A 24,579-nucleotide genomic window follows, 5' to 3' on the forward strand; every position below is an offset into this window, starting at 1 on the left:
GCTGTTTCCAGGGTGGCTGGTGAGGCCAGTCCACTGTGGAACAGGTGGAAGACTTTAATCTTTATGCCTTTGGGTGGGAGTCCTGGGCAGCTTCCAGATCAAATGTAGGATGCCCCACTACATTTGAACTTTCAATAAACAACACATAACTTTTTAGTATCAGCTTATCCCAAACATGACATGAGACGTACTGATACTGAAAAATTCTTCGTTGTGTATCTGAAATTCAAATTGAATGGGAACGTTTTGTACTTTTATTTGCTAACTCTGGCTGCCCTACACTGAGATTTGTTAAGAAACAGCAGCAGCTTTTGGTGCCCAATTCAGAATAATACAACAGGAGTGGCTTGGGTTCACCACTCAAATTCCACTCAGTGAGTGAGGTTGGAGTCCTGGTTCCCCTCGAGGCTGAAGAGGCCTGAGGAGGGAAAATAGAGCTAGAAAGACCAGTGCTCAGGCTCATCTTCCTGGAAGGGGTGATTTAGGTAGTTGGGGTGATCTAGATAGTTGGCTACATTGGCTACCAGAAGGAAGGGTTAACTTTCCACTGCGCACATTTCTACCCTCCCTCTCTATAATTCCTCCCTGTCTGACTGAGTTTTCTTTGTATATTGTGTTCTGCAGAAGAAAAAGGCAAGATTGGACACAGAAGAGGGAAAAAGGATGTAGGCGGCAATACAGGCTGCAGCTGGGGTTAGGGGTCAAGTCTCATGATGTCATACTAACAAAGCCTCTATTTATTTAGCATTTAATATGTGCCATCCACTGTGTTAATGACTCACCTGCATTTTCTCATTAGCTTTTCACAACAACCGGGTGAATATGTGTTTTCCTTATTTTTGGAGAAAAAGACATCAGGATTCAGAAGTTTCTTGCCAGAGTTTCCATAGCTAGTAAGTGGCTGAGCCAGGACCCAAACTCCAAAGCCCTTGCTCTTAACCACTGTGCTACACTGCCCCAGTGTCTGAAATAATGGTGCAGTCCGATTAAGCAAGGGGTTTGAATGAAGCTAGCCTGGTCACAACCTGGAGTGCAGGTGGTGTACCCCTGTTACTAGAAGGGGGAGACTGGGCTTCTGGCCACTGAGGCATCTAGTCCCATGTGGGATGACAGGACTCTTTCCTGCATAGTGAGGTATTTTTGACTCTTTAAATATTTAACAACAGAAACTTTTAACAATTGTGAACCCATCCAATAAGTACAGGTTTAACCAGTGATTTCCTGAGGGCTGACTGTGTGCCAGGCACTACCTAGCCATGAAGAAGATACACGGTGTGGCTTTGCCCTCCAAGAGCTTAACAAATGCTAGGGCTCTGCTGGAAAGAAAAGAGTTTTTAAGGCTGAATGTGCCTAATCTGGGAAGGCTTCCTGAGGGAGGTGAGTTGCAGAATTGGAAAGGGAGAGGGTCAACTGGAATGGGCACTGTTTCAGTAAGAGAGCTTTTTGCTTCGAAAAAGCAAGGAGGTTTGATTGGCAGGTAAAAAGAGCTGTCGTGGGGGGAGGTGAGTACTGTGTGGGGCCTGGTTTGGGGACCCTAAAACTGGGCCCAAGGCAGGCAACCACCCCCAAGGAAGCAACAGTGTTGGACACTGTCTGCGCCCACCCAAGTATCAGGACCTCCGGGTCCCCACCCTTAATCACTGTCCTGCCTGTCCGCACAGCCTCTTCTTCCCGAAGACCCTGAGAAGAAGTTGGGACAGAGAGGTTGACCCTGTTTCACAGGTGAGGAAACTGAGGCACAGAGAAGGAAAGAGACTTGCCCAGAGGTCACGTGGGCAGAGGTCACTTGGTTCTAGAAAAACCCAGCTTCTGCTCTAGGGACTGCACCTTCTGATCACTGCCTGTCCCCCACCCCCACGCCAGCCTGTCCAGCTGGCAGGCAGCCTTCCCTGGCCATTAACTTAGATCCTTCCTCCTCCCCTTTCGCCCTGAGGGAGGGAGTTTCCTTTGTTTCTAGTGAGAGTCTGGCTGCTGTGAGGCCAGGTGGGGCAGACTGAGATGGTTTACATGCAGGGACACGGGGGAACTGCCGAGGGGAGGCAGCAGGACATGCACACATCCAACTGTGTGCCAGAGTTTTGCATTTTATTTCATTTAATCCTCAGAATAACCCTGTGAGGTGTTATCATTTTGATTCCTGAATCACAGACAGGAAAGTAAGGTTCAGAAGGAGTTGCCCGTGGCTGCCGTGCCTACAGTCACAGGCCAGCGGGTGATTCTATACCTGGTACTCAGGGATATGGAGAAAGGAGCCTAATTAGGAGAACATGAATGGGGGGTGAGGGGGGAGGGGCTGAGGATGGGGACCAGTGAGGAAACAGCCCAGCAGGGGCCTTGTGGACTGGTAGGAGGGCCTTTGAGGAGGTCTGGCTGAGCGGCCTGTACCCTGGGCCTCTGCAAATGTCAGAAAGCCCTTCCCAAACCGCCATTCAGCTGTTTACTTGTGGGGCGGGGTTTTTTTCTGCTGTTTTTTTTGTTTTGTTTTGTTTTGTTTCCTTTTGAGTGATCTGCTTACCTGGGTGCCTCTGAATGAGGGACTTTGTCTACTTAAATTAGAGGCAGAAAGGGCATCTTTAGGGACCCAAAAATGATCTCCTGACCTATGCTACGCTAACAAAGAAGACCAGGGGAAGTTGCTGATGCATGGGCTGCTCAGGTCATCGTAACTGCCCCGGAGTGGACTTACAGCAAGACCATGTGTAGACTGGGAAACTCTTGGTTCTTATTTGCAAAGCCAGAGTAAGGGGACCAATCTGGATAGGCTGGCAACTTGGAAGGATTGTGCATCCGTTTGACCACTGGACAAATATTTAGAGGTTTACTGCATGTGCTAAGCATACTTTAGTGGAAAGCAGATACCTAAAACACACCTCTGCTCTTAAATAGCCTAATCTTCTGCTGATCCATCATCTAATACAGTCTGAGGAGTGCTGGACAGAGGGCGTGGCGGGAGGGGCACTAGCCCAGCCCCTAAACCGGGTTAGGGAAGGCCCTTTGATGCCGAGGACCTGTCTACAGGCATGTCGGAACACAGCAGGAAGCTGAGATGGCACGAAGCTGTCCACCCATCTTGCGCCCAGGCTCCCTTGTGACCAGCGGCATCCAATTTTGAGGCTGCTGGGCGGATTTAGAGAACGTTGCCTTGTGCTTTGGGAACAGAGGCAAGTTTACCACATCCGCTTCTCAAAGATTGACCCTTGACCCCCGCATTCCTGGCTCACACCCAGATGAACCATTGACCCAGCTAACCAGCTCATCTTGGTTTATCACAAACTGTCCAATCTCCTCCGCACCTCAATAGCTGCGTAAGGCAGGGTCTTGTCTTCATTACACAGAGGCTCCCTCTGAGCTCCAAAAGGGTGAAATGACTTATCTTCAGACCAGGACAAGGAGGTTACACAACATCCCCAGGTCCTTGGTTGGGATTACCAGTGACGCCAGTGACCCCATGTGGATTGTAAACACAACGTAGGAGAGGGAGGCTGCTGGAGTAGGTAACCATGACTAACTAGGAGCTGCTTCTATTTTTATTCCTGTTGTAGTTAGTGGAAAAGGCCTGCCTGAATGGTTGAGGAAGGAGGGTAACCAGCCAGGCTGGTCCCTAACCCACCTCTGCCTGTCGATGGGTTTGTCCCTTTTCCTTCAAGGCCTGGCTAAGAGGCCACCTCTGCCTTGGCATTTTGTCAATTTAATTTTCAATCCAGAAGGTCCACACAGTTTGCTTTGGGAGAGTGCATTTGACCCTCCTGGATTGGGAACTTTGGAAAAGAGAGACTGGCTTACTCTCTCAGTTTCCTTTCCGGTACCCGAACAGTGCTCTGACTGTCACAGGTGATCAATTATCTGTTTATAGAATTGAAAACTGTCTTCTATTGGCCGCCTGTCCCTCTGGGGAAGCAAGTGTCTGGAGATGTCCCCATGGAATTGCACATTCCCTGGGGAACTCCTTTAATCTACATCGTAACAAGCTGGCTGGCAGCAGAGAGAAGAATGCTCTAAATTGGGGATATGGGGTGCAGGGAGGGAGGTGCATCAGGGGATTTAGGGAAAGGCTCCAGAGCAGGAGGCATGGCTGGCTGAGGTTAGCAGCCTTGGTTTGAGGTCTGGGCAGCTGGTGGGAGGAGGATATGGTGAACAGCTGGGATACAGATGCCCCCGGGCATGGCAAAGTCTTGGAGTCATCAGCTCAACTCCACAAAAGACTCAGCTTTGCATATGGTGGGCCTGGCCCCTGAGTGGAGCCTACCGTCTTTCCCCATTAACTGCAAATGACGTTTCCCTCATTCAGCTACACTGGCAAACAGTACCAAGCGCCTTCTCCATACCAGGCACTTTGCTGGACATTGAGATGCTGCAATGAAGCAGATGCCCAAAAAAACCCTAGTTTAAAAAGTATGTAATTTTTAAAAATGTTACTGGTTTTTGAATTCTGAAAGTCAAGCAATACATTCATTAGTCACCTCACCACCTTGTTTGAGAGCTGGTCCCAATTCTTGACTTGCTCCTAATACCTTCCTGCCTCCCTCTTTTCTCCCATTATCCTCCTCCCCTTCCATCTAAGGGGGACAATTGACTTTATCTAGAAGCTCGTAAGCTGCCTTTTAAAAGCCTGATTTAAATTCACAGAGCAAGAAGGGCCTCTCAGGCAGCCCAGGGACCCACAGGCCCCATGCACTCCTAATCGTTCCACCCTTCTGCAAGTGGCCATGCCACATGAGCTTTGTTTCAGAGGCACTGGGCAGTTCAGAGTCCTTGCTGCATTAAGGCTGGTGGATAATGGCACAGCTGCAGCTCCAGAGAATAAGCACTTAGCCTTTCTGGGATCTTGCCCCGGCCTGTCCAGGTATTCCTGGCAAGCCCTGGACGAATTGGCTATTGGGTTCTGAGTCTTTCTCTTTTATGCTTGATCAATGATCCCAGGAGCTGGCATTTCTGAGCAATGGACCAGCTTCATGTCAAAAACAGAAGACAGACTCTGAAGTTGAAAGGTCTTGATTTCTGCCCTCATCTGACCACTTACTCACTGTGTTCCCTTGAGCAAATCACCTCCCTCTCTAAAGCTCCTGGCTGATAAAATGGGGAAGATAATACTGAGCTTCCTGGATGGCTTTGAAAAACAAGGGAGGGTGGGGCATGGCGGCTCATGTCCCCAGCACTTTGGGAGGCCGAGGCGGGCAGATCGCTTGAGCTGAAGAATTTGAGACCAGCCTGGGCAACATGGCAAATCCCCATCTTTACAAAAAGTACAAAAATTAGCCAGATGTGGTGGTGTCTACCTGTAATCCCAACTACTCTGGAGGCTGAGCTGGGTAGGTAGGAGGATTGCTTGATCATGGGAGGTGGAGGTTGCGGTGAGCAGAGATTTCGCCACTGCACTCCAGCCTGGGTGCCAGAGTGAAACTCTATCTCAAAATAAATAAATAAAAAACAAAACAAAAAAACCCAAAAAGATAAGAAAAACAAGGGAGAAACCATGTGTGAAAGCTGAGGATACTGGAAAGTATCATACAAATGTTCATTATTTTAGAAAGTAACTGCTGTCATCTCTGCCTTTTTGCAGAGCAGAGGAGGGAAGGGTGGCCAAATTTTCTCCCCAGAAGTTAGGGAGCCCCACCCAGGAGATTAGAGGTAGGGGAATTGGGAGGGCCAAAGACCCTGTGCCGGCGTGTTTCCTGTTTCCACCTTTGAGCGAGACAGGAGTGGCTGCCCACAGCCCTCCCAGCCGCTCACTGTATTGATCTGTTTGCCTTGATTTGGTGGTGGTGGGCCGTGGTTGGTAAGGGCAGCTTTCTGCCGGCCTCCGAGCTGCCTTCGGGAGGCTGTGGCGTTGGAATCCTCAGCCCAGGATCTATGCTGGGATCTGGCATGGGCAGAGAGGGATAAAGCAGGAAGGTGCAGAGGCTTCCTTGTTCCTAAAGCGGGGGTCCCCTGAGGATGTTCCCCACACACGGTCATCCTGAAGGGCCAGACTGCTGCACAGGCCCAGCCCAGAGAGCCCCAGGGCAGCCTGGAAAGACTCCCCAAGTTCTTTTAGTTCTGGAGAACTAAAGCTTTCATTGGAACAAGAGGGTGGAGCTGCTGATGGTTAACCCTGATGTAATCATTGCCTTGGGCTGTGTTTCCCTCTTTGGGGAAGAGGGAGGGGAGAGTTGGCTCCTCTGAAATCCGATACTTTGGGTCCCTGAACCTCTGAGGATGGGTGTTTCCCAGAAAGTTCAAAAGTAGAAGTTGGGGCCTCAGTAAACTTCATGACCTTCTCTTGAAGGTTCACGGTAGCAAAGCCAGTTCTGTTGGGTGGAGGTCTCCAAAAGTCCAGGCCACTGGCGGGTGGAGGGATCCCATGCGGCTGGGAGCCAGGAGCCTGGGAATCGTCATTTTTGCCCTGGCCATCTCTTTCCTAGCTCACTGGGTGACGTGGGGTACATCATTTAGCTTTGCTGGGCCTCTGTTTCTGCATCTCTAACATGGGGATAATTCTTGCCTTCTTATTTCCACAAATTGTTCTGAGAACCTAGTTCAAGGCTATGAGAAAGCACTTTGAGAAGGGTGAGTGATGCGTGCAGTAAAAGGGATTTCTCTGAAGAAGGGCTAATGTTGAGTGACAGGATCGGTGCCCTGTGTGCCATTTCGTTTCGTTAATCCAACCCTCAGCACCTTGCAAAGGAAGAGATATTTTCCCTGAGGCTCCGGGAAAGCATAAGGTTGCAGAACTCAGAAGAGGCTGGGGGAGATTCCACCCAGGTCTCAGCTCAAAGTGGTGTCCATCCACGGCAGTTGCCCTTGGGAATTGTCCTCTGGGGCCATCTCTTCCTCTAAAACTTGCAGAAACATTCAAAGTCTGTATGTCGCCAGCCAGGCCCTGGGAGGCTCTTGGACCAGTTCTAGAGACAGACAAGTACACAACTGCCAGCTGGTCCACTCTGTGCTAAGGCTGGGGAAGAGGGTTCCTCCTGCCTAGTGACATTGAGGCAGGTAACACAGGGAAGCTGGGTACAGGTAGTTTCTCCAGAGACCTAGATTGTCCTCTTTATGGCCACTTTCTGGCCCCCTGGGACTTACGCCCCTCCCTGACAGGCTGAGACCTTGAAGTGAATCCTAGCCCAGCAACTGTCAGTCCCCCCATCTTCTCACCCCCAGGGATGCTGCCTCACCTTGGCTGGTGGCCAGATCTGCCTCCCTTTTCTTAGAGCGTGCAAAGCAGAGCCTATTTGGGGACAAGCTTCCAATCCAAGCTGGGGGAGGTGGGGAGGAGGGCAGAGAACAAATGAGCCCAGGGCTGCGTCCTAGCTGACCACCTGCCCCCTGCTCAGGGGGGGTGTCCTGAGCCACCCCCAAGGCTGAGTCATTCTAGCTATCCCTGCCTGCCCCCACCCCCACACACCATGCCAGGTGCCATGACCAGCCGGCCTCAGCTGGAGCTGCTGCCCTTCCCAGTTTCCTTGTTCATTCTCTGAAATCAGAGTCTGTGGACTTGCTAATGATCCCATAATCTTAGCCCTGGAAGAGAGCCTATGGCTTTTCTAATTATTAGTCTCTCTGGCCCAGGTTTCCAATAATCTGGAAACATATGCACGCCGGGGCACAGCTTGCACGCCGGTCATCATTCTGCTGGGCTCCTTGCAGTCCTGGCAAGGCATGTGGGAGGCTCCGGATAAGTGTTATTTTATTTATTTATTTATTTTTCAGCAGTGAGTCAGGAGATGGGGGTGCGGAGGTGGGACCCAGAACTCTCTACCTTTCAGTGGGCCATTGAGGACAGACTATGAGTTTCCCGAACTCACCCGCCTGGGAGGGCTCCCAGATGGCCTGGAGATTCCTTGCATTTGCTCATTCACTCACCATGTTTCACTGAGACCCAACTATGTGCCAGGAACCAGAAATTTACAGAGGAGTACGGTGAGAATTCTGCCTTAAGTCTAATGGGGGGTGACAAAAAGAAACTAAATTTCAGCACAGTGGTAGGGGTGGGGATATTGATAGCTATTACTTATTGGGCATATAAGTGCTAGGCAAATGCCAGCCCTTTTAGAATTTTATTTTATTTTATTTTATTTTATTTTATTTTATTTTATTTTATTTTCTGAGAGGGAGTCTTGCTCTGTCACCCAGGCTGGAGTGCAGTGACTCTTATCTCGGCTCACTGCAACCTCTGCCTACTGGGTTCAAGCGATTCTTCCGCCTCAGCCTCCCAAGTAGCTGGGACTACAGGCGTGTGCCACCACACCTGGCTAATTTTTGTATTTTTAGTAGAGACGTGGTTTCACCATGTTGCCCAGGCTGGCCTTGAACTCCTGACTTCAGGTGATCCACCCGTCTCAGCCTCCCAAAGTGCTGGGATTACAGGTGTGAGCCACCGCACCCAGCTAATTTTTTATTTTTAGTAGAGATGGGGTTTCACCGTGTTGGCCAGGCTGGTCTCAAAACTCCTGACCTCAAGTGATCCACCCTCTTCGACCTTCTAAAGTGCTGGGATTACAGGCGTGAGCCACCGCGCCTAGCCTATTCCATTTAATTTTTTTACAACAATCTAGCAGCTTTTCATTTTACGGATGAGGAAACTGAGGTTCAGAGAGGATAAGGTCACACCACCAGTAAATAGGATGCTAGATGGGAACTGAGATGTGTCGATTCTCAGGCTTGTGCACCTGTACTGAGCTCCAGGTGAACAGCAGCTTCCTGGGAATTGATGGCTGAATCAGCCAGTTGTGGAAAGGCAGGGCAGGCTGTGTACAAAACTGGAGGCCCAGGACACGTGGACTCACACTGTTTCCATCACTTGAATGCCCTCCTGATCACTTTCAATCATATCCCTCCCTGCACTCTCAACTTGCCTCCGTAGGGAAGCCCTCCCAGGTAACATCATCTGGCAATAGCCACAGAGTTATCCTTGCTGCGTCTCAGCACCTCCCAGGCAAACTGCCAACTCCATTTGTCTTACCCTGATAGATCAATCAAGAAATACCTCGACAGATATTTCTTGAGCCCTGCCTCGCTCTGTCCATGTACTTGAGAGCTCAAGGCTAGTAACACCAACCAGCAGATGATCCTAAAAATCGCTTGTGTATCTTCTTTGGATTTTTTTTAGCCACTGATTTATCTTTCTAATTATGTTTGGCTTTAAGCTAATGTTAAAATGAGCTTGCATTAGATAATTTTCACTAATTAACACCAACTTAGTGCCGGGAAAGTCATCCCAGAAGCTTGCCGTGGGGCAGGGAAAAGCTGGCCTAGGATCTTACAAAGAATTGCTCTGCCTACTCCCTGGCAGGTCACAACACGTGGCTGTTCACAGCTGAATTAGCTGGCCTTGCTCACATGGGTGCCATCTGTCTTCCTCCTCTGGAGAGCCAGCCTGGGTCTCCTTTGTACATACACCCTCCTTCATTCAACCTTGTCGAGAGTGATGGCCTCACTGGATCAGCTCGACAGGGAGTGAGCCCCAGGGGTTGCAGCAGGGAGACCTGACCTGCAGGGTCGGAATCAGAGCCCCACACTGAGGTAGAGGGCTCTGGGAGAGGAAGCGGCCTGGCTGGGTGGAATTGGGCTCTGCTGCTGCCAGTGTAGGGAGGGAGCCCAGTGTTTTATGATGTCTAATTAGTGAGTCCAAGACAATGGAACGCGGCCACAGATAGCTGGGAAGCCCCAGCGGACGAAGCACAGATGCTCTGCTGCTGGGGTGGGGGCAGCCTCGCCTCCAAGTGGGGAACAAGACCCTGTTGTAGCCGGGCGCGGTGGCTCACGCCTGTAATGCCAGCACTGTGGGAGGCCGAGGCGGGCAGATCATTTGAGGTCAGGAGTTTGAAACCAGCCTGGCCAACATGGCGAAGCCCCGTCTCTACTGAAAATATAAAAATTACTCAGGTGTGGTGGCATACTCCTGTAATCCCAGCTACTCGGGAGGCTGGGGCAGGAAAATTGCTTGAGCCCGGGAGGCAGAGGTTGTAGTAAGCAGAGATTGCACCATTGCACTCCAGCCTGGGCAACAGAGTGAGATGCCATCTCAAAAAAAAAAAAAAAGATGCTATTGCAGCTCTGGATTTGGCTCTGCCCTCTTGATGGACCAGGACTCAGGCCCAAGCCACATCTCAGCTCCCCAAGGGAAGCCACCTATGTGGAGGCATTCTGTTTAGATCGATGGCAGGGCTCTGTCCCCCACCCCTCCTGGATAGATGGGGAGACACCCTCATGTGCCTAGACAGACACAGCACTGGGCAGACATGTGTCCTAGGGAAGGCACACACTACACTGGGGACTGAGGACAGAGGACAATCCTGGGACAGCCCTGGGAAGAGTGAAACAAGGACCTCAACAAAGAGCATTCCCATCACTACAGGCTTAGAGAGTGACTGTGTGAGTTAAGGCACAAGCCGGGGCCTGCTGGGTGAGTTTGGAGAACATCAAATAATCTTGTGGGGTATGAGCTGATTATCTGGGGGAAAGTGGATAAATGCCTCTTTGGGTTGGACGCACATGAAGGGTCTGCAGCCAAGCTGAGGGCCTTGGACTTGGCTGTAGGCAGAGTCCGGAGCCGCTGAGTGGGCAGGGAAACGGGGAAACAGGGCACTTGGGTTGTGTTACGGGGTCCGTCTGCCAAGAGGGGAACAGTCAGGGCAGCGTGAACTAGCATTGCTGCACGGTGACCCTGAGCACCTCCTGTGTGTCAGGCCCTGTCCCAGAGGAAGGGCAGAGCTCAGCCAGCTGGGGCAGGCACCAGGCAAGATTTTATCTAGGCTTGATCACATTTCTTTTCATCTTCATAGAACCATGAAGTAGCCTCATTTTACAGGTGGAATTCAGAGGGCTTAAGTAACTTGCACAAGGCCTCACAGCCTGCGTGGAATCTGTGGCACTTTCCCCACTGCAGTACACTTCCGTACTGTTGGATCGATGTGAATCTAGAGACCAGGGATGGAGGAAGTTAAAGGGGTGCTCTGTGGGGGTCTTGCAGCAGGAGCCCCTCCTGCGGGCAGCTGTGCAGCCTCCTCTCCTCTCCTCCCCTCCCCTCCTCCTCTCCTCCTCCTTTCCTCCTCCTCTCTTCCTCCTTTCCTCCTCTCCTCCTCCTCTTGTCCTCTCCTCTCCTCCCCTGTCCTCTCCTTCTCTCTTCTTCCTTTCCTCCTCCTCTCCTCTCCTCTTCCTCTCCTCCTCCTCTCCTCTTCCTCTCCTCCTCCTCTTCCTCCTGTCCTCCTCCTCTCCTCTCCTCCTCTCCTCTCCTCCTCCTCTCCTCTCCTCCTCTCCTCTCCTCCTCCTCTCCTCTCCTCTTCCTCTCCTCCTCCTGTCCTCCTCCTCTCCTCTCCTCCTCTCCTCCTCCTCTCCTCCTCCTCTCCTCTCCTCCTCCTCTCCTCTCCTCCTCCTCTCTTCTCCTCCTCCTCTCTTCTCCTCTCTTCCTCCTCTCCTCTCCTCTCCTCTTCTCTCCTCCTCGTTTCCTCTCCTCTCCTCCTCATTTCCTCTCCTCTCCTCCTCATTTCCTCTCCTCTCTTCCTCCTGTCCTCCTCCTCTCCTCCTCTCTCCCCAGGGTATGTACATGGGGAACTTAAGAGAAAGTTTGTTGTTTAGTGGTTCCCACTCTACTGGCATAAACATTGGTGATAATTCAGATGGGGTCTGTTGCAGTCTTGGTGACAGTCTTTGCAGTGTACCCAGAGTACTTAACGACACCCTCTCCTGGATGCATCGTCTCCACAGAGCACCTTTCTGTGCTCTGGTGGCAGCTGTGCCAGTTAGAAGTTGCACTGGTTCCCCGCAGCCTGCCTTGAGATACTTTACTCTGGCAGCGGTTTTCTTAGCCGTGCATTGCGACATTCAGCATATGGGTGTAGACACCCGGTATGGCTGGGTGAACGGTTCATCTTGTGGGTTCTTCCTTAATTGGGCTGCCCTTCCCCTCTATTAGTTCAAGTTTTGACCTTTCTGGAAGTGTCGTGTTCCCTGAGCTTTAATCAGCACCGTTGGCAGGGCCTGCTGGGCACGGCATTGAGCAGAGGAACGACATCCCCACCTTGATGTCTGTGCCGCGGGAGGCGCGGGCTGCCTGGCTCCTCGGGAGCTCAGCGGGCCCCCCATGGGCTGTCTCCTTCTTTCTCGCCCCCTCTCCTGAAGTGGTGGCCCCTTTGTTCTGGGCTCCATCACTGAGGAGAGAAGAGGGCACCTGCATTTACCCATCGCTCACAGCAGGACAAGTACCGCGCTGTTGCAGCATCTCATTTAAAGCTCAGAACAGCCCTGTAAAGGCATCACCTCCCCACTCTAAAATGAGGTAACTGAGACCCAGTAGATGACTCACTCCAAGCCAAACAACCAGTGTGACTTTCTGCTTCCAGACCATATATTATCCTGCACGCAGCAGCCTTCACTCAAAGTGGGACGTCCCCCTCGTGCATTCAAGTGACCTGAGTGGGGGTGGAAGACGGAGGCTGCTGTTAAAATGCATTTTCTTGGGCCTTTGCTGAATTCGAGTCTTTGAGGATGGGGCCCTAGAATCTGCATCTTCAATACGCATACCCACATCCCTGCTCCCAGGTGATTCTTTACACACTGAAGTTTGACAACCTGCCCCATAGACCTTGATCCTCTCTTTGGGGAGATCAGAAAAGGAGATTCCACAGCTGGAGATGTGTGAGTCAGAGGCTGCAGGCAGACCCAGCTCTACCCTCTGTGGGAAAGGGAAGAATTGCCCTCTGGTCCCAGATAGACTAACTCCCCTGGGCTGCCACACAGACGGCCATTCTGGGAGACAGCAGTTTGACCTGTTTGCTCAGCTGCTGTCCTTTCCACCCTGAGAGACTTAGGGCTTCAGATGTGGGGAGTTCCCCCCATTTGCCTTATAACGATCCCTCATAACTGCACAGCGTTTTTGTGGGATTTCGTGGGCATGATCTCATCCGAGCCTTCCAACAGCCCTTGGGAGGCAGGCAGGGCAGGTGTGGGAGGCGACTCGGCCCCAGGCGCACATGGGTAGGTAATCAGTGGGAAAGTGTCCCTAGCTGCTTCCCTTCCTTCCCCAGGATAAGTGACTGTCACCAAAAGGCCCCCCCGAGATCAGCAAGCTTGGCCTGTGGCCTTTTGCTTTTTCACACCCACAGAAGGGGTGAAGCTGGGGCTCTTTGCAGGCAACAGCAGCCGCACCCGCCCGAGTCCTGAGCTCCACGTCAGCAGGGCAAGGGGACGGATGGTGTTGTCTTTCTCTGGCCATGCATCTCAGTTTGCATCCTGCTGTGCAGGATGAATTGGAGGGCAGAGGTGAGTAGGAGAGAGCAGTTAGGAAGCTCATCAAAGCATGGTAGGAAAGGAGGAGAGTCCGAGCTGGGGCGGTACCAGTGGGGACAGAAAGGATTAACCCTGAGAAGGTGCCCGGGGTGGGGCCTGCTGGATTCAGTGACTGATGGGATTTGGTCGGTGGGGAGGAGGAGGAGGCCTGGGCTTCTGGCCAGAGTGACTAGGAGGATGTTGATCTGGGGAGTGCCTGTGTGGCTGAGGGACACGTCCAAGCTGCAGTCGGCTCTGTGGTTGTGGACACCTGGCAGAGCCATGCCTTCTCTAGTCTGGGTCATCCAAACACACGTGGGGTGCAGGGGCCAGGTGGAGCCCTCTTGTCGTTTTTGTTATCTAACGGTAATTACGGAGTCCAGAAAGAGAATTGGAAATGCCGGCAGTTTAATTAAAGCTGAATGGCAGGAGAGGGGCATTTGGAGGCTCCCTCCCTGCCTTCACTCCCCGTCCTGCCGCCCAGGCAGGATGTCAGATGAGGAGACGTTGAGCTCATCAAACACCCAATGAGAAGTCTTACAACATCAGAAGCTGTCTGCCAATGCGCCTGCGACAGCTTATAGAAACTGCTGCCGCCTCGAATCAACCTCTCTCCCCAGGCATTGCACGTCAGTAGGTAACCAGGTAAAGGACGCCGGGGGTGGGCAGCCAGCTGGAGGGGGCGTGATTTCCTCCCCCAACAAAATCGGCTTCCCTGGGTTCTGAGCCCATGATATCATGTTTTTAAACCCGATTTTCCATCTACACTGGGAGCTTTGAAGTTCGCTCGGTGTGGGGAATCACGTGCTCAGTGAAAGACCCAAGCGGAGAGACTGGGGAGCTGGTTCCCCTGGGCCTGACACTGCGGAGCTGAATGTCAAAGCAGGGCCCTCAGAGACCAAAGCGGAGGGTAATTATCACTTCTCCACAACTAGATTGCAGGAGTCAGCCAGCAATTGATTTTTTTTTCTACTTCAGATATTTCATTGTTTAATTGGTAGTGACACAGATGGCTGGCTCGCATCAGGGCGTCACAGTCCGACTCGCGAAAGCCAGGCTGTGGGGACTGCTGCCTCTCCTGACATCCTTAGGCAGGTGGGGCTAGGACAGGCCAGCTTCCCTGCTTAATTTTTCAACCACAAAGCAAAAGTAAGCTTGTGAACCTGAGACATGCTTCTGCAAACCGGTCAAGCTGTCCTCAGCGACATGAGTCCACTCTAAACTGGACACCTTGGAGTGTTCAGAAATGAGAGGACAGTGAACTCTTGCCTAGACAGCTCGTGGGAGATAAACTATCAGCACTAGGAGATGGCGATCAAGTATCAGAGCCCTGGAAACTGCATTGCTGGTGGAATGAAGCCAGAACTCTGTACATTGTGTTCAAACCCTCCGTATCCAGCCCGTGTACCTTCACCCTTATACCTACCCCATACCTGCCCTGAACTGTGCCAGCCCAGCTGGAGGACTCGAAGGTGGTTTTGGTTTGGTTGGTTGGCTATTTTGGACCCCAGGTGCAAAGAGCTGATTGTGCACTTTAGTTCACGGCACAATGCCACCAGAGAGCCTTGAAAGGCCTCATACTTTACCTTTCTCCTTCCCTCCCACTCCTTTCTCCTTCCACAGGCAGCCACCCTTATGTGTTCAGCATATGTCCTCAGACATCTTTGTATCCTTGAAAAGTATGCAGTGTTATGTTATGCAGTGTGCTTTTTTGTTTTGTTTTGTTTTTTGAGATGGAGTCTTGCTCTGTTGCCCAGGCTGGAGTGCAGTGGCATGATCTCAGCTCACTGCAACCTCCACCTCCCGGGTTCAAGCCATTCTCCTGCCTCAGCCTCCCTGGGATTACAGGTGTGCGCCACCATGCCCGGCTAATTTTTGTATTTTTGGTAGAGACGGGTTTCACCATGTTGGCCAGTCTGGTCTCAAACCCTGACCTCAGGTGATCCGCCCGCCTCGGCCTCCCAAAGGGCTGGGATAGTTTATCTATCAGTGCTCCTGATAGTTTATCTCCCACATGCTGTCTAGGCCAGAGTTCACTTTCCTCTCATTTCTGAACACTCCAAGGTGTCCAGCTTAGAGTGGACACATGTCGCTGAGGCCTGTAGTGTGTTTTTATTTACATGAGTGGTATTAGGCTATAGATCTCACTCTTTAACATTTTCATTTGAACTATCCATTTTAAATGGAATTATCCAAGTTACGGCACATGGAACTAGTTCGTTACTTCTGTCTGCTGTAAAACATTCTATCACATTCCTCACATTTTCCTTACCCAGTCTTCTAGAAATAGACATCTAAGTCATTGCCAGCTCCTTGCTATCCCAAAGAAAGATGCAGGCAACATCTTTGTTCTGGCCCCCATATAGACCTGTGCAAAGATCCAAGAGATTCCCAGGGGTGCACGGCCAAGAGTGGCTTTGCTGGCTTGTAGCGGTGCACTTGCTTAAATCCACTCACTTCTGCCTGTTGCTCTACAGAATAGCTGCACCAGTGCTCCCACCCACCAGCAGTGACAACGGTCCCCTTTCCTCCACCTACCAATATTTTGGATTATCCAACTTTCTGATTTTTTGTTAATCTCATAGTTTGGATTATCCAACTTTCTGATTTTTCATTAATCTCATAGTTGTAAAGTAGTCTCTTCCTTTCATCTCTTCTTTTCTTTTTTTTTTGGAATGAAGTTTTGCTCTTGTCACCCAGGCTGGAGTGCAGTGGTGCCATCTTGGCTCACTGCAACCTCCACCTCCCAGATTCTAGCAGTTCTCTTGCCTCAGCCTCCCGAGTAGCTGGGATTACAGGCATGTGCCACCACGCCCAGCTGATTTTTGTATTTTTAGTAGAGATGGGGCTTCACCATGTTGGCCAGGCTGGTCTCAAACTCCTGACCTCAGGTGATCCATCCGCCTTGGCCTCCCAAAGTGTTGGGATTACAGGCGTGAGCCACTGCACCCAGCCATCTCTTTGTTTTAATTTGAATTTTTCTGATTACTAATGAAGATTGCTTATTTTGCCTGGTGCGGTGGTTCATACCTGAAATCCTAGCACTTTGGGAGGTCGAGGCAGGTGGATCACTTGAGGTCAGGAGTTTAAGACCAGCCTGGCCAACATGGTGAAACCCTGTCTCTACTAAAAATACAAAAATTAGCTGGGCGTGATGGTGTGCACCTGTAATTCCAGCTACTCGGGAGGCTGAGGCACAAGAATCGCTTGAACCTGGGAGTCAGAGGTTGCAGTGAGCTGAGATCGCGCCACTGCACTCCAGCCTGGGTGAAAAAGGAGACTCCATCTCAAAAACAAACAAACAAACAAAAGGGCCAGGCACGGTGGCTCACGCCTATAATCCCAGCACTTTGGGAGGCTGAGGCAGGCGGATCACGAGGTCAGGAGATCAAGACCATCCTGGCTAACACGGTGAAACCCTGTCTCTACTAAAAATACAAAAAAAAAAAAAAAATTAGCCAGGCATGGTGACGGGCACCTGTAGTCCCAGCTACTCGGGAGGCTGAGGCAGGAGAATGGTGTGAACCCAGCAGGCTGAGCTTGCAGTGAGCTCAGATCGCACCACTGCACTCCAGCCTGGGCGACAGAGCGAGACTCCGTTTCAAAAAAAAAAAAAAAAAAAAAAAAAGACTGCTCCTTTTTACATACTTATTAGCGTAATTTTATTTGCCTTCATGGTTTGTGCATTTAAGAGATTCTTTCTTACCCCGTGTCATGAAGATAATTTCTTGCATTTCTTCAACTCCCTTATTAGTTATATCTTTCACATTTAAGTACTTAGCCTACCTGAAATTTTCCTTTACATGTGGTGTGAAGTAGGGATGGATCCACCTCTATTTTTCTCTATGTAGTAAGCCAGCTTTCCCAGTTGCATCTGCTAAAGGGCATTTTTTTTCTCCACTGAGTTGTGATTCTACCCTATCATACATGAAGTTTTGTGGATGTGTGTGGGTATACATGTATATATGTGTTTGTGTGTATACTTTAGGTCTCACCATTCTGTTCCATTGGTCTATTGGTCAGTTCCTTCCTACTTAGGTAGTACAAGTAATTCAATTCTTATTGCTATGGTGCTGTAGTATGCCTTACTCTCTATAGGACAAGTGTTCCCTTTTAGTTTTTCTTTTTCAAAATGGATGTAGCTATTTGTGGATCTTTATTCTTCTTTATATCTTACAAGTATTTGAGTTTCTCAAAAACATTTACTGAGCTTTTTATGGAATTGCATTGAATTTTATTAATATGGAGAGTATTCGATTTTTAAAATATTAAATCATATTATCTTTTCATGATTTATTGCTTCATTTATTCACATATTTTAAAATGCCCTTTAGTAGAGTTTCCAATATTTCTTCCTGAAGGTATTTATTTCCAAATGCCATGTGGTTAGGTTTTAACTGTGAATGGATCTTATTTTCTTTCTTTCATTCCTTCTTTTATTTTCCTTTTTTCTTTCTTTTGGTTGATTATTGCTGGAATAGAAGAAGGCTATTGGTTTTTGTTAAGTTTTTCTTGGATCTGGCAATTTTGCTGAATTCTCTTATTAATTCTAATTGCTTTTTTCTTTATTCTACTGGATTTTCTATGAAAATTGTATTCTTAAATACTGGTAGTTTTGTCTTCTCTAATCCTTATGTCTCTTATTTCTTTTCTTTTTTTTTTTTTTTTTGTCTTATTGCATAGGTGAGGACCTCCAATACTATGTTGAACTATAGTAGTGATAGTGAGTATCCTTCACTTGCCTGAGACTTAAAGGGAGTACATCATAAATTTCTCTGTTAAGTAAAATGTTTCATGTGGGTTTTTGGTAGATAGAGCTGACCAAGTTAAGGAAGATCCCTCTTATTCCTTGTTTTCTGAGAATTATAATCACAAGTAGGGATCTCGCTTTATTAAATACTTTGTAAAATTATTAAGATAATTATGATTTCTTCCTCTCGACCCCATAAATGTTTTAAATTAAAATGATACCATTTCTGATGCTGAGTCACCCTTAACATTCTTAGGATAAACTTTACTTGCTTATGGTATATTTTGAGTTCACTTTTTTAAGTGAACTCTCATGTCATGTGCATTTTCAATTGCATTAGCAGATAATTGGCCTTAATATTCTTTTTTACCATGTTTACAATTCCTTAAATTTCTATTATGTCTGTAGTAATTTCTTCTTTTTCATTCAGTATTTTATTTACATCTCCTCCTTTTTTGTCGGTTTTGCCAGAAGTTTGTCTATCTTGTTCAGTCTTTTTAAACAGCCGGTTTTTGATTCAGTGTTCCTGAAGTACCTCCCAGCAATCCCATCTCTAGGAAGCAGTGAAATGAAGACCCTGGAGCCACCTAGGACTGAGTTCCTTGCTCTGTCACATGGCAGCTTTATAACCTTGGACATAGGACTTTGCCCCCTATGTGTTTACTTCCTCAATTGTAAAGTGGGAATAACTCTTTCTCAAAATAGTTGTGAGGATCAGATTAGAAAATTTACCTAAAGCACAGGAAACAGCCTAGAGTGCACTGAAAGTATTTAGTACATGTTAATTCCCATCCTCAGTGCCTGTATTAGTCAGGGTTCTCCAGAGAAACAGAACCAACTGGATGGGCATGTTTGTGTGTGTGTAAGAGAGATCCACGGAGAGACAGAGATTGATTGATTTTAAGGAATTGGTTCATGGGATAATGGAGATGCGAGGCCAAAGCCTATAGGATAGGCTGTCAGGCTGGAGATGCTGGGAAGAGCCGCAGTTTGAGCCCAGAGGCAGTCTGCTGGCAGAATTCCTTCCTGCCCAGGGCAAGTCAGTCTTTCTTCTACTAAGGCCTTCAGTGGATTGGACGAGACATACCCACATTATGGAGGGTAATCTGCTTTTCTCGAAGTCCAGTGATTTAAATGTTAACCTCATCCAAAAAACCACTCTCATAGAAACATCCAGAATAATGTTTGCCCAGCCAAGCGAACACATAAAATTAACTGGCACGGTCCCTTTGTTTGTGCTGTGCCCTTTCCCTGAAATGCTCCCCTTGCAGGCCCCTGCTAGGCCACGTGACACCTGTACGTAGGTTAGAAAAAGGTGACCCTTCCCTGGGCAGACGCAGCTCCCACTCCCCTCCTCAGCCAGTGCCCGTGTGCAGGACACACTCGTGCAAGGCAGCCCAGACAACCTCCCTGCTCAATTTTTCTCCTGTTCCTTTCTCTGGGTGCCAAAGGCTTCCCGTCCTTCACAGTTCAGCTTCCTTGGTAAAGTCTTATCCTCCCCTGGCTAGAAGTAATCTCTCCGCTCACCCACTCACCCCAAACCCACATCACATGTCATGTTCTTAAAGGCATTTATCTCATTTATCTCATGTCTTAGTTATTTTGTGCAAAGGTCTTGTCATTCCACTTGGATTAACCCCTTGAAATCAGCGTTGTAGCTTATCTGTCTTTAGGTCCTCTCTCTGCCTGTGGGGCTCAGGAAGAATTCATTCTCCCTTCATGAATGATTATCACAATATCAACCTCAAAGGAAGACTCTGAGGCAAAATTAGTATAGAGAGTTTATTTGGGCCAAGATTTAGGATGGCATCCCGGGACACACTTCCAGGTTTCCTTGGGGAGGTTCAAGTTTTTAAAGAAAAAAGGATGAAATCAGGAGAGGGGGGGACAACCAAAGCCATTGGTCAGGAAGTCTCATTGGTTTACAGAAATAACATTGTCAGTGATTGACTATACGTTGTTGTTGTTGTTTTTTTATTTTTTTTTGAGATAGAGTCTCACTCTGTCATCTAGGCTGGACTGGAATGCAGTAGTGCTATCATGGCTCACTGCAGCCTCAACCTCATAGGCTCAAGCAATCCTCCTGCCTCAGCCTCCCAAGTAGCTGGGACTACAGGCATGTGCCACCATGCCTAGCTAATTTTTGTATTGTAGAGATAGGGTTTTGCCATGTTGCCCAGGTGGGTCTGAAACTCCTGAGCTCAAGCAGTCCTCCTGTCTCAGCCTCCCAAAGTGCTGGGATTACAGGTGTAAGCCACTGTGCCCAGCCTACCTTGTTGAACTATGGAGTGTGTAGCATTTTATAGCTACTTAGAGTGAGTCTAGAGGCCTCATACAGCAAGTGGCTTCAAGCCACTTATTAAATAATAGTAATTATTTAGCTTGAGGGAGAGTGAGACATGACTGCTATTTTATTTTAATTTTATTATTTTATTTTATTTTATTTTATTTTAAGATGGAGTCTCTCATTGTCCCCCAGGCTGGAGTGCAGTGGCACAATCTTGGCTCACTGCAACTTCCGCCTTCCTGGCTCAAGCAATTCTCCTGCTTCAGCCTCCTGAGTAGCTGGGATTACAGGCACCCGCCACCACGCCTGGCTAATTTTTGTATTTTTAGTAAAGACAGGGTTTCACCATGTTGGCCAGGCTGGTTTCGAACTCCTGGCCTCAAGTGATCCGCCCACCTCAGCCTCCCAAAGTGCTGGGATTACAGGCTTGAGACACTGTATCTGGCTGCTGTTACATTTTAAATGCCTCTCTGGGCCTGGTAATTTAAAAGGTCTCTGATTCCTCAGATAAAACTTTTTTTTGTTTGTTTTTGTTTTTGTTTCTCAAAATGTAAGAGCTATGAAGAACTTTAAATGGTATTGTGTAGGGCAGGGCACAGGAGTCTTTAGAGTCAGGGTGATGGCAGAGCACACATGTGAAGGTGGTGACACCCCCGTGACGGAGGCTGATTGAGCGTACCTGGTGGCAGGTGCTGCTCTCAGCACTTTCTTTTTTTTTTTTTTTTTTTTGAGACGGAGTCTCGCTCTTGTCACCCAGGCTGGAGTGCAATGGTACAATCTCGGCTCACTGCAACCCCTGCCTCCTGGGTTGCAATGAGCGATTCTCCTGCCTCAGCCTCCCCAGGAGCTGGGATTACAGGTGCCCACCATCATGCCTGGCTAATGTTTGTATTTTTAGTAGAGACAGGGTTTCACCATGTTGGCCAGGCTGGCCTCAAAGCCCTGACCTCAAGTGATTCACCCGCCTCAGCCTCCCAAAGTGCTGGGATTACAGGCGTGAGACACCATGCCTGGCCCTGCACTCAGCACTTTCATGGTGCATCTCACTAAGTCCTGGGACAACCCTTTGAGATAGGTGCAGTTATTAGCTCTATTTTGCGGCCAAAGAAGCTTGGGCCGGCTGTGGCATGGGGATACCAGCCTGGTCTGCCTGACTTTAGAGTCGGTGCTTTCAGTTTTGAAGGCAAACCGACTTCCTGGACTGTATAGCAGTTACTGTTTACTGAGGACTTATTACATGCCAGAGGTTGTGTTTGCTGCTTTACCAAGTTATCCCTAATCCTCAGGGCAAAAGTGTAAAATACAAGGTATCCTCACTTTGCAGATGAGGAAACAGAGTCTCATTAAGGTTAAGTGACTTGCCTAAGGTCACAACTAGGAAGTGGGGGATCCACAGTTAAAACAAAATCTCTCCGACCCCAGAGCCGAGGACTTTTCCTCAGCATCACACGCAGGGTGTTTGGGCCAATAAGAAAGCCTTCAGCTGGAGCGTGGAGCATGGTTTGTGTAGGAAGCTGGAAGTAGCTGTGGTTAGAAAGGTGGAGCTGCCTCAGGCTGCATAAACCTTGCCTTCCAGGGTGGATAATCAGGACTGATTTTTGTAAATGAAGGGTCCTGAGCAATGACCTTGATTTGAGGATGGCGTAGGATGGGATGGACACCTGAAGGCCAAGGGAATCCAAGCCAGCCGGAGCTCTGCCTGGATCTGTGCCTGGGGAAGCACAGAGCTTCGCACAGCTGCAAGGCCATCAGCGCATCCAGGCCTGCTGAGAAAGTGATGTTTGAGCAGATGTGTGGCTCACGGAGATGAGCCCACCCCTGGCATCTCCGTGATGGCATCTCCTTGTGCCTGCTTGTTTTTCTAGGGTGTCAGGAGCAACTTTCCTCAGGCCCCTAGATCTCCCATGATATGGCTTCTTTATTCCATTTTATTTATTTATTTATTTGAGACAGTCTCTATCACCCAGGCTGGAGTGCAATGGCACGATCTCGGCTAACTGCAACCTCCATCTCCTGGGTTCAAGTAATTCTCCTGCCTCAGCCTCCCCAGTAGCTGGCATTACAGGTGCCTGCCACCACGCCTGGCTAATTTTTTTTTTTTTTTTCGCTCTTGTTGCCCTGGCTGGAGTGCAACGGCGCAATCTTGGCTCACTGCAAACTCTGCCTCCAGGTTCAGGCAATTCTCCTGCCTCAGCCTCCCAAGTAGCTGGGATTACAGGTGCCCGCTACCATGCCCAGCCCATTTTTTGTATTTTTAATAGAGGGTTTCACCATGTTGGCCAGGCTGGTCTCAAACTCCTGACCTCAGGTGATCCACCTGCCTTGGCCTCCCAAAGTGCTAGGATTACAGGTGTGAGCCACCTTGCCTGGCCCTGATACAGTTTCTTAAGAGCTGCTGGAAGACCCCCAGGATGGGGAGGTGGGGATTTGTCCAGGATGAAGTACAAGCACACGGCCTGCACCCCCAGGCCCATCTCCAGGGCTCAGATATGCTCAAAGATCGGGGGACGTGGAACTCCAGGAATGGTACAGGTGGAGTTTTTGACTCTTGGCCACCAGTGACCCCAGGGCGAGGTGGTACCATCTGAGCAGGGCATGCCTCTGTGGGCGTGTAGACACCGTGTGCCTCACCAGTGCCTTTCCCCACCCAGGTCATTGCTGTGGTCATGGACCTCTTCACTGATGGTGATATCTTTCAAGACATTGTGGATGCTGCCTGTAAGCGCCGGGTCCCAGTGTACATCATCCTGGACGAGGCAGGAGTGAAGTATTTCCTGGAGATGTGTCAGGACCTGCAGCTCACTGACTTCCGGATTCGGGTAAGTTGCACCACTGGGGTGGAAAGTGGACAGGAGATGAGACAGAGACTACCTCTGCCCCGTCCTGCAGCTCCCCCCTGCCTCTTCCCTGAATGGGGGCTCAGGCGAACTTCAAGATCTCAACACCTTTCCTTTTGTTGAAAGTCAAGCCTTTAACCTTGGCTTTACTGTTAACTACTGAATCATATGCCCAGTTTCAATTTTATCCCTAGGCTGCTGAGACTGAAGGAGGGAGCTCTGGGCTGGTCCTGGGGTGCTTAGCCTGCAGAATCACTGATGTCAAAGTGAGGGCTGTTGTTCTCTTCTGGGGCCTTTTGAGAAGAGGCAGGAACCACCCTGGGCTTGTCCATGCCTGAAGCAAGATTTGGGGACTTCTTCCTGCTCGCCAAAGAGGGTTCCCTATGGAAGGCTGTAGGAAGCAGAGCGTCTAGTGAAGACAGGAGCCTGCAGGCAGGGTCCATACACAAGGGGGCTCTTCCTCTGCAGAAGCAAGGACCTGGCACGGAGGCTGGCCCAACCCAGGTGACAGGGCCTTCTGCTCTTCCCAACAGAACATCCGTGTCCGCTCTGTGACAGGCGTCGGCTTCTACATGCCCATGGGGAGGATCAAGGGGACCCTGTCATCAAGGTTCCTGATGGTGGACGGTGACAAAGTGGCCACTGGATCTTACAGGTGAGTTGGGCCGGATCAAAGAAGGGCCCAGGAGGCCTTGATTCCAGGTAGGTGTTCAGGAAGATGCCAGACCGGAGCCTCCGTCATCATGAGTGTGTAACAGGGATCATCTGACGCAATAGCAAAGGACAGCTTTCTGCCCAGTCCCTTCCCTCAAACTTCCTGGTTGATGGATTATTCTAAAAAGAGGGTCAACTCTTCCTAGGCATTACGCACTGTCTGTTTTTCATGGTCCATTTGCAGCCAGTTGCATTTTGAGGCTAGTCATTAGGTAGGACAAGCAGGAAGTGGGATGCACCAGATCTGGAAAGAAACGGGAAGGTGTGGTGTGCAGGGAATGTCGCCAGAATTTTTTTTTTTTTTTTTTTTTTTGAGACGGAGTCTTGCTCCGTTGCCCAGGCTGGACTGCAGTGGCATGATCTCGGCTCACTGCAACCTCTGCCTCCCGGATTCAAGCGATTCTCCTGCCTCAGCCTCCCTAGTAGCCGGGATTACAGGTGCCTACCACCATGCTCAGCTAATTTTTGTATTTTTAGTAGAGAAGGGGTTTCACCATGTTGGCCAGGCTGGTCTCGAACTTTTGACCTCAAGTGATCCGCCCGCCTCAGCCTCCCAAAATGCTGAGATTACAGGTGTGAGCCTGGCCTCAGAATTCTGATTTTAAAATAATTTAGCAGGAACACGAGAGACTGTATCTGTGTAATCTCTGCCCTCCAAGTAAATTAAAATATAGGTGACGAGAAGAGAGAGCTGAGCACATGAAACAGTGAATAGCAGGGTAAGTCCTGTCACATGGTCAGAGTATGGG

General features: G+C 49.4%; 1 protein-coding gene across 1 annotated transcript in view, besides 4 other annotated features; it reads left to right on the forward strand.

Moving 5' to 3' along the window:
* The window catches only part of FAM83F (family with sequence similarity 83 member F), a 48,581-nt gene that overhangs the window by 1,284 nt on the left and 22,718 nt on the right, over positions 1–24,579 (forward strand). The window contains exons 2-3 of the mRNA NM_138435.4: positions 22,931–23,098; positions 23,650–23,771. Of these exons, the coding sequence (NP_612444.2) occupies positions 22,931–23,098; positions 23,650–23,771 (290 nt within the window). The remainder of the gene's footprint in view (positions 1–22,930; positions 23,099–23,649; positions 23,772–24,579) is intronic.
* Positions 1,178–1,783: an enhancer, noted in NCBI's record as "NANOG-H3K4me1 hESC enhancer chr22:40393419-40394024 (GRCh37/hg19 assembly coordinates)". NCBI's record gives its function as "activates a minimal SCP1, AML or CMV promoter by ChIP-STARR-seq in naive H9 embryonic stem cells {active_cell/tissue: H9 hESC(naive)}" and the evidence as "EXISTENCE:reporter gene assay evidence [ECO:0000049][PMID:30033119]".
* Positions 1,784–2,389: an enhancer, noted in NCBI's record as "NANOG-H3K4me1 hESC enhancer chr22:40394025-40394630 (GRCh37/hg19 assembly coordinates)". NCBI's record gives its function as "activates a minimal SCP1, AML or CMV promoter by ChIP-STARR-seq in naive H9 embryonic stem cells {active_cell/tissue: H9 hESC(naive)}" and the evidence as "EXISTENCE:reporter gene assay evidence [ECO:0000049][PMID:30033119]".
* Positions 9,106–9,607: an enhancer, noted in NCBI's record as "H3K4me1 hESC enhancer chr22:40401347-40401848 (GRCh37/hg19 assembly coordinates)". NCBI's record gives its function as "activates a minimal SCP1, AML or CMV promoter by ChIP-STARR-seq in primed H9 embryonic stem cells {active_cell/tissue: H9 hESC(primed)}" and the evidence as "EXISTENCE:reporter gene assay evidence [ECO:0000049][PMID:30033119]".
* Positions 9,608–10,107: an enhancer, noted in NCBI's record as "H3K4me1 hESC enhancer chr22:40401849-40402348 (GRCh37/hg19 assembly coordinates)". NCBI's record gives its function as "activates a minimal SCP1, AML or CMV promoter by ChIP-STARR-seq in naive H9 embryonic stem cells {active_cell/tissue: H9 hESC(naive)}" and the evidence as "EXISTENCE:reporter gene assay evidence [ECO:0000049][PMID:30033119]".

This window comes from Homo sapiens, chromosome 22 (assembly GCF_000001405.40).
Source record: "Homo sapiens chromosome 22, GRCh38.p14 Primary Assembly".
Lineage (NCBI taxonomy): Eukaryota > Metazoa > Chordata > Mammalia > Primates > Hominidae > Homo > Homo sapiens.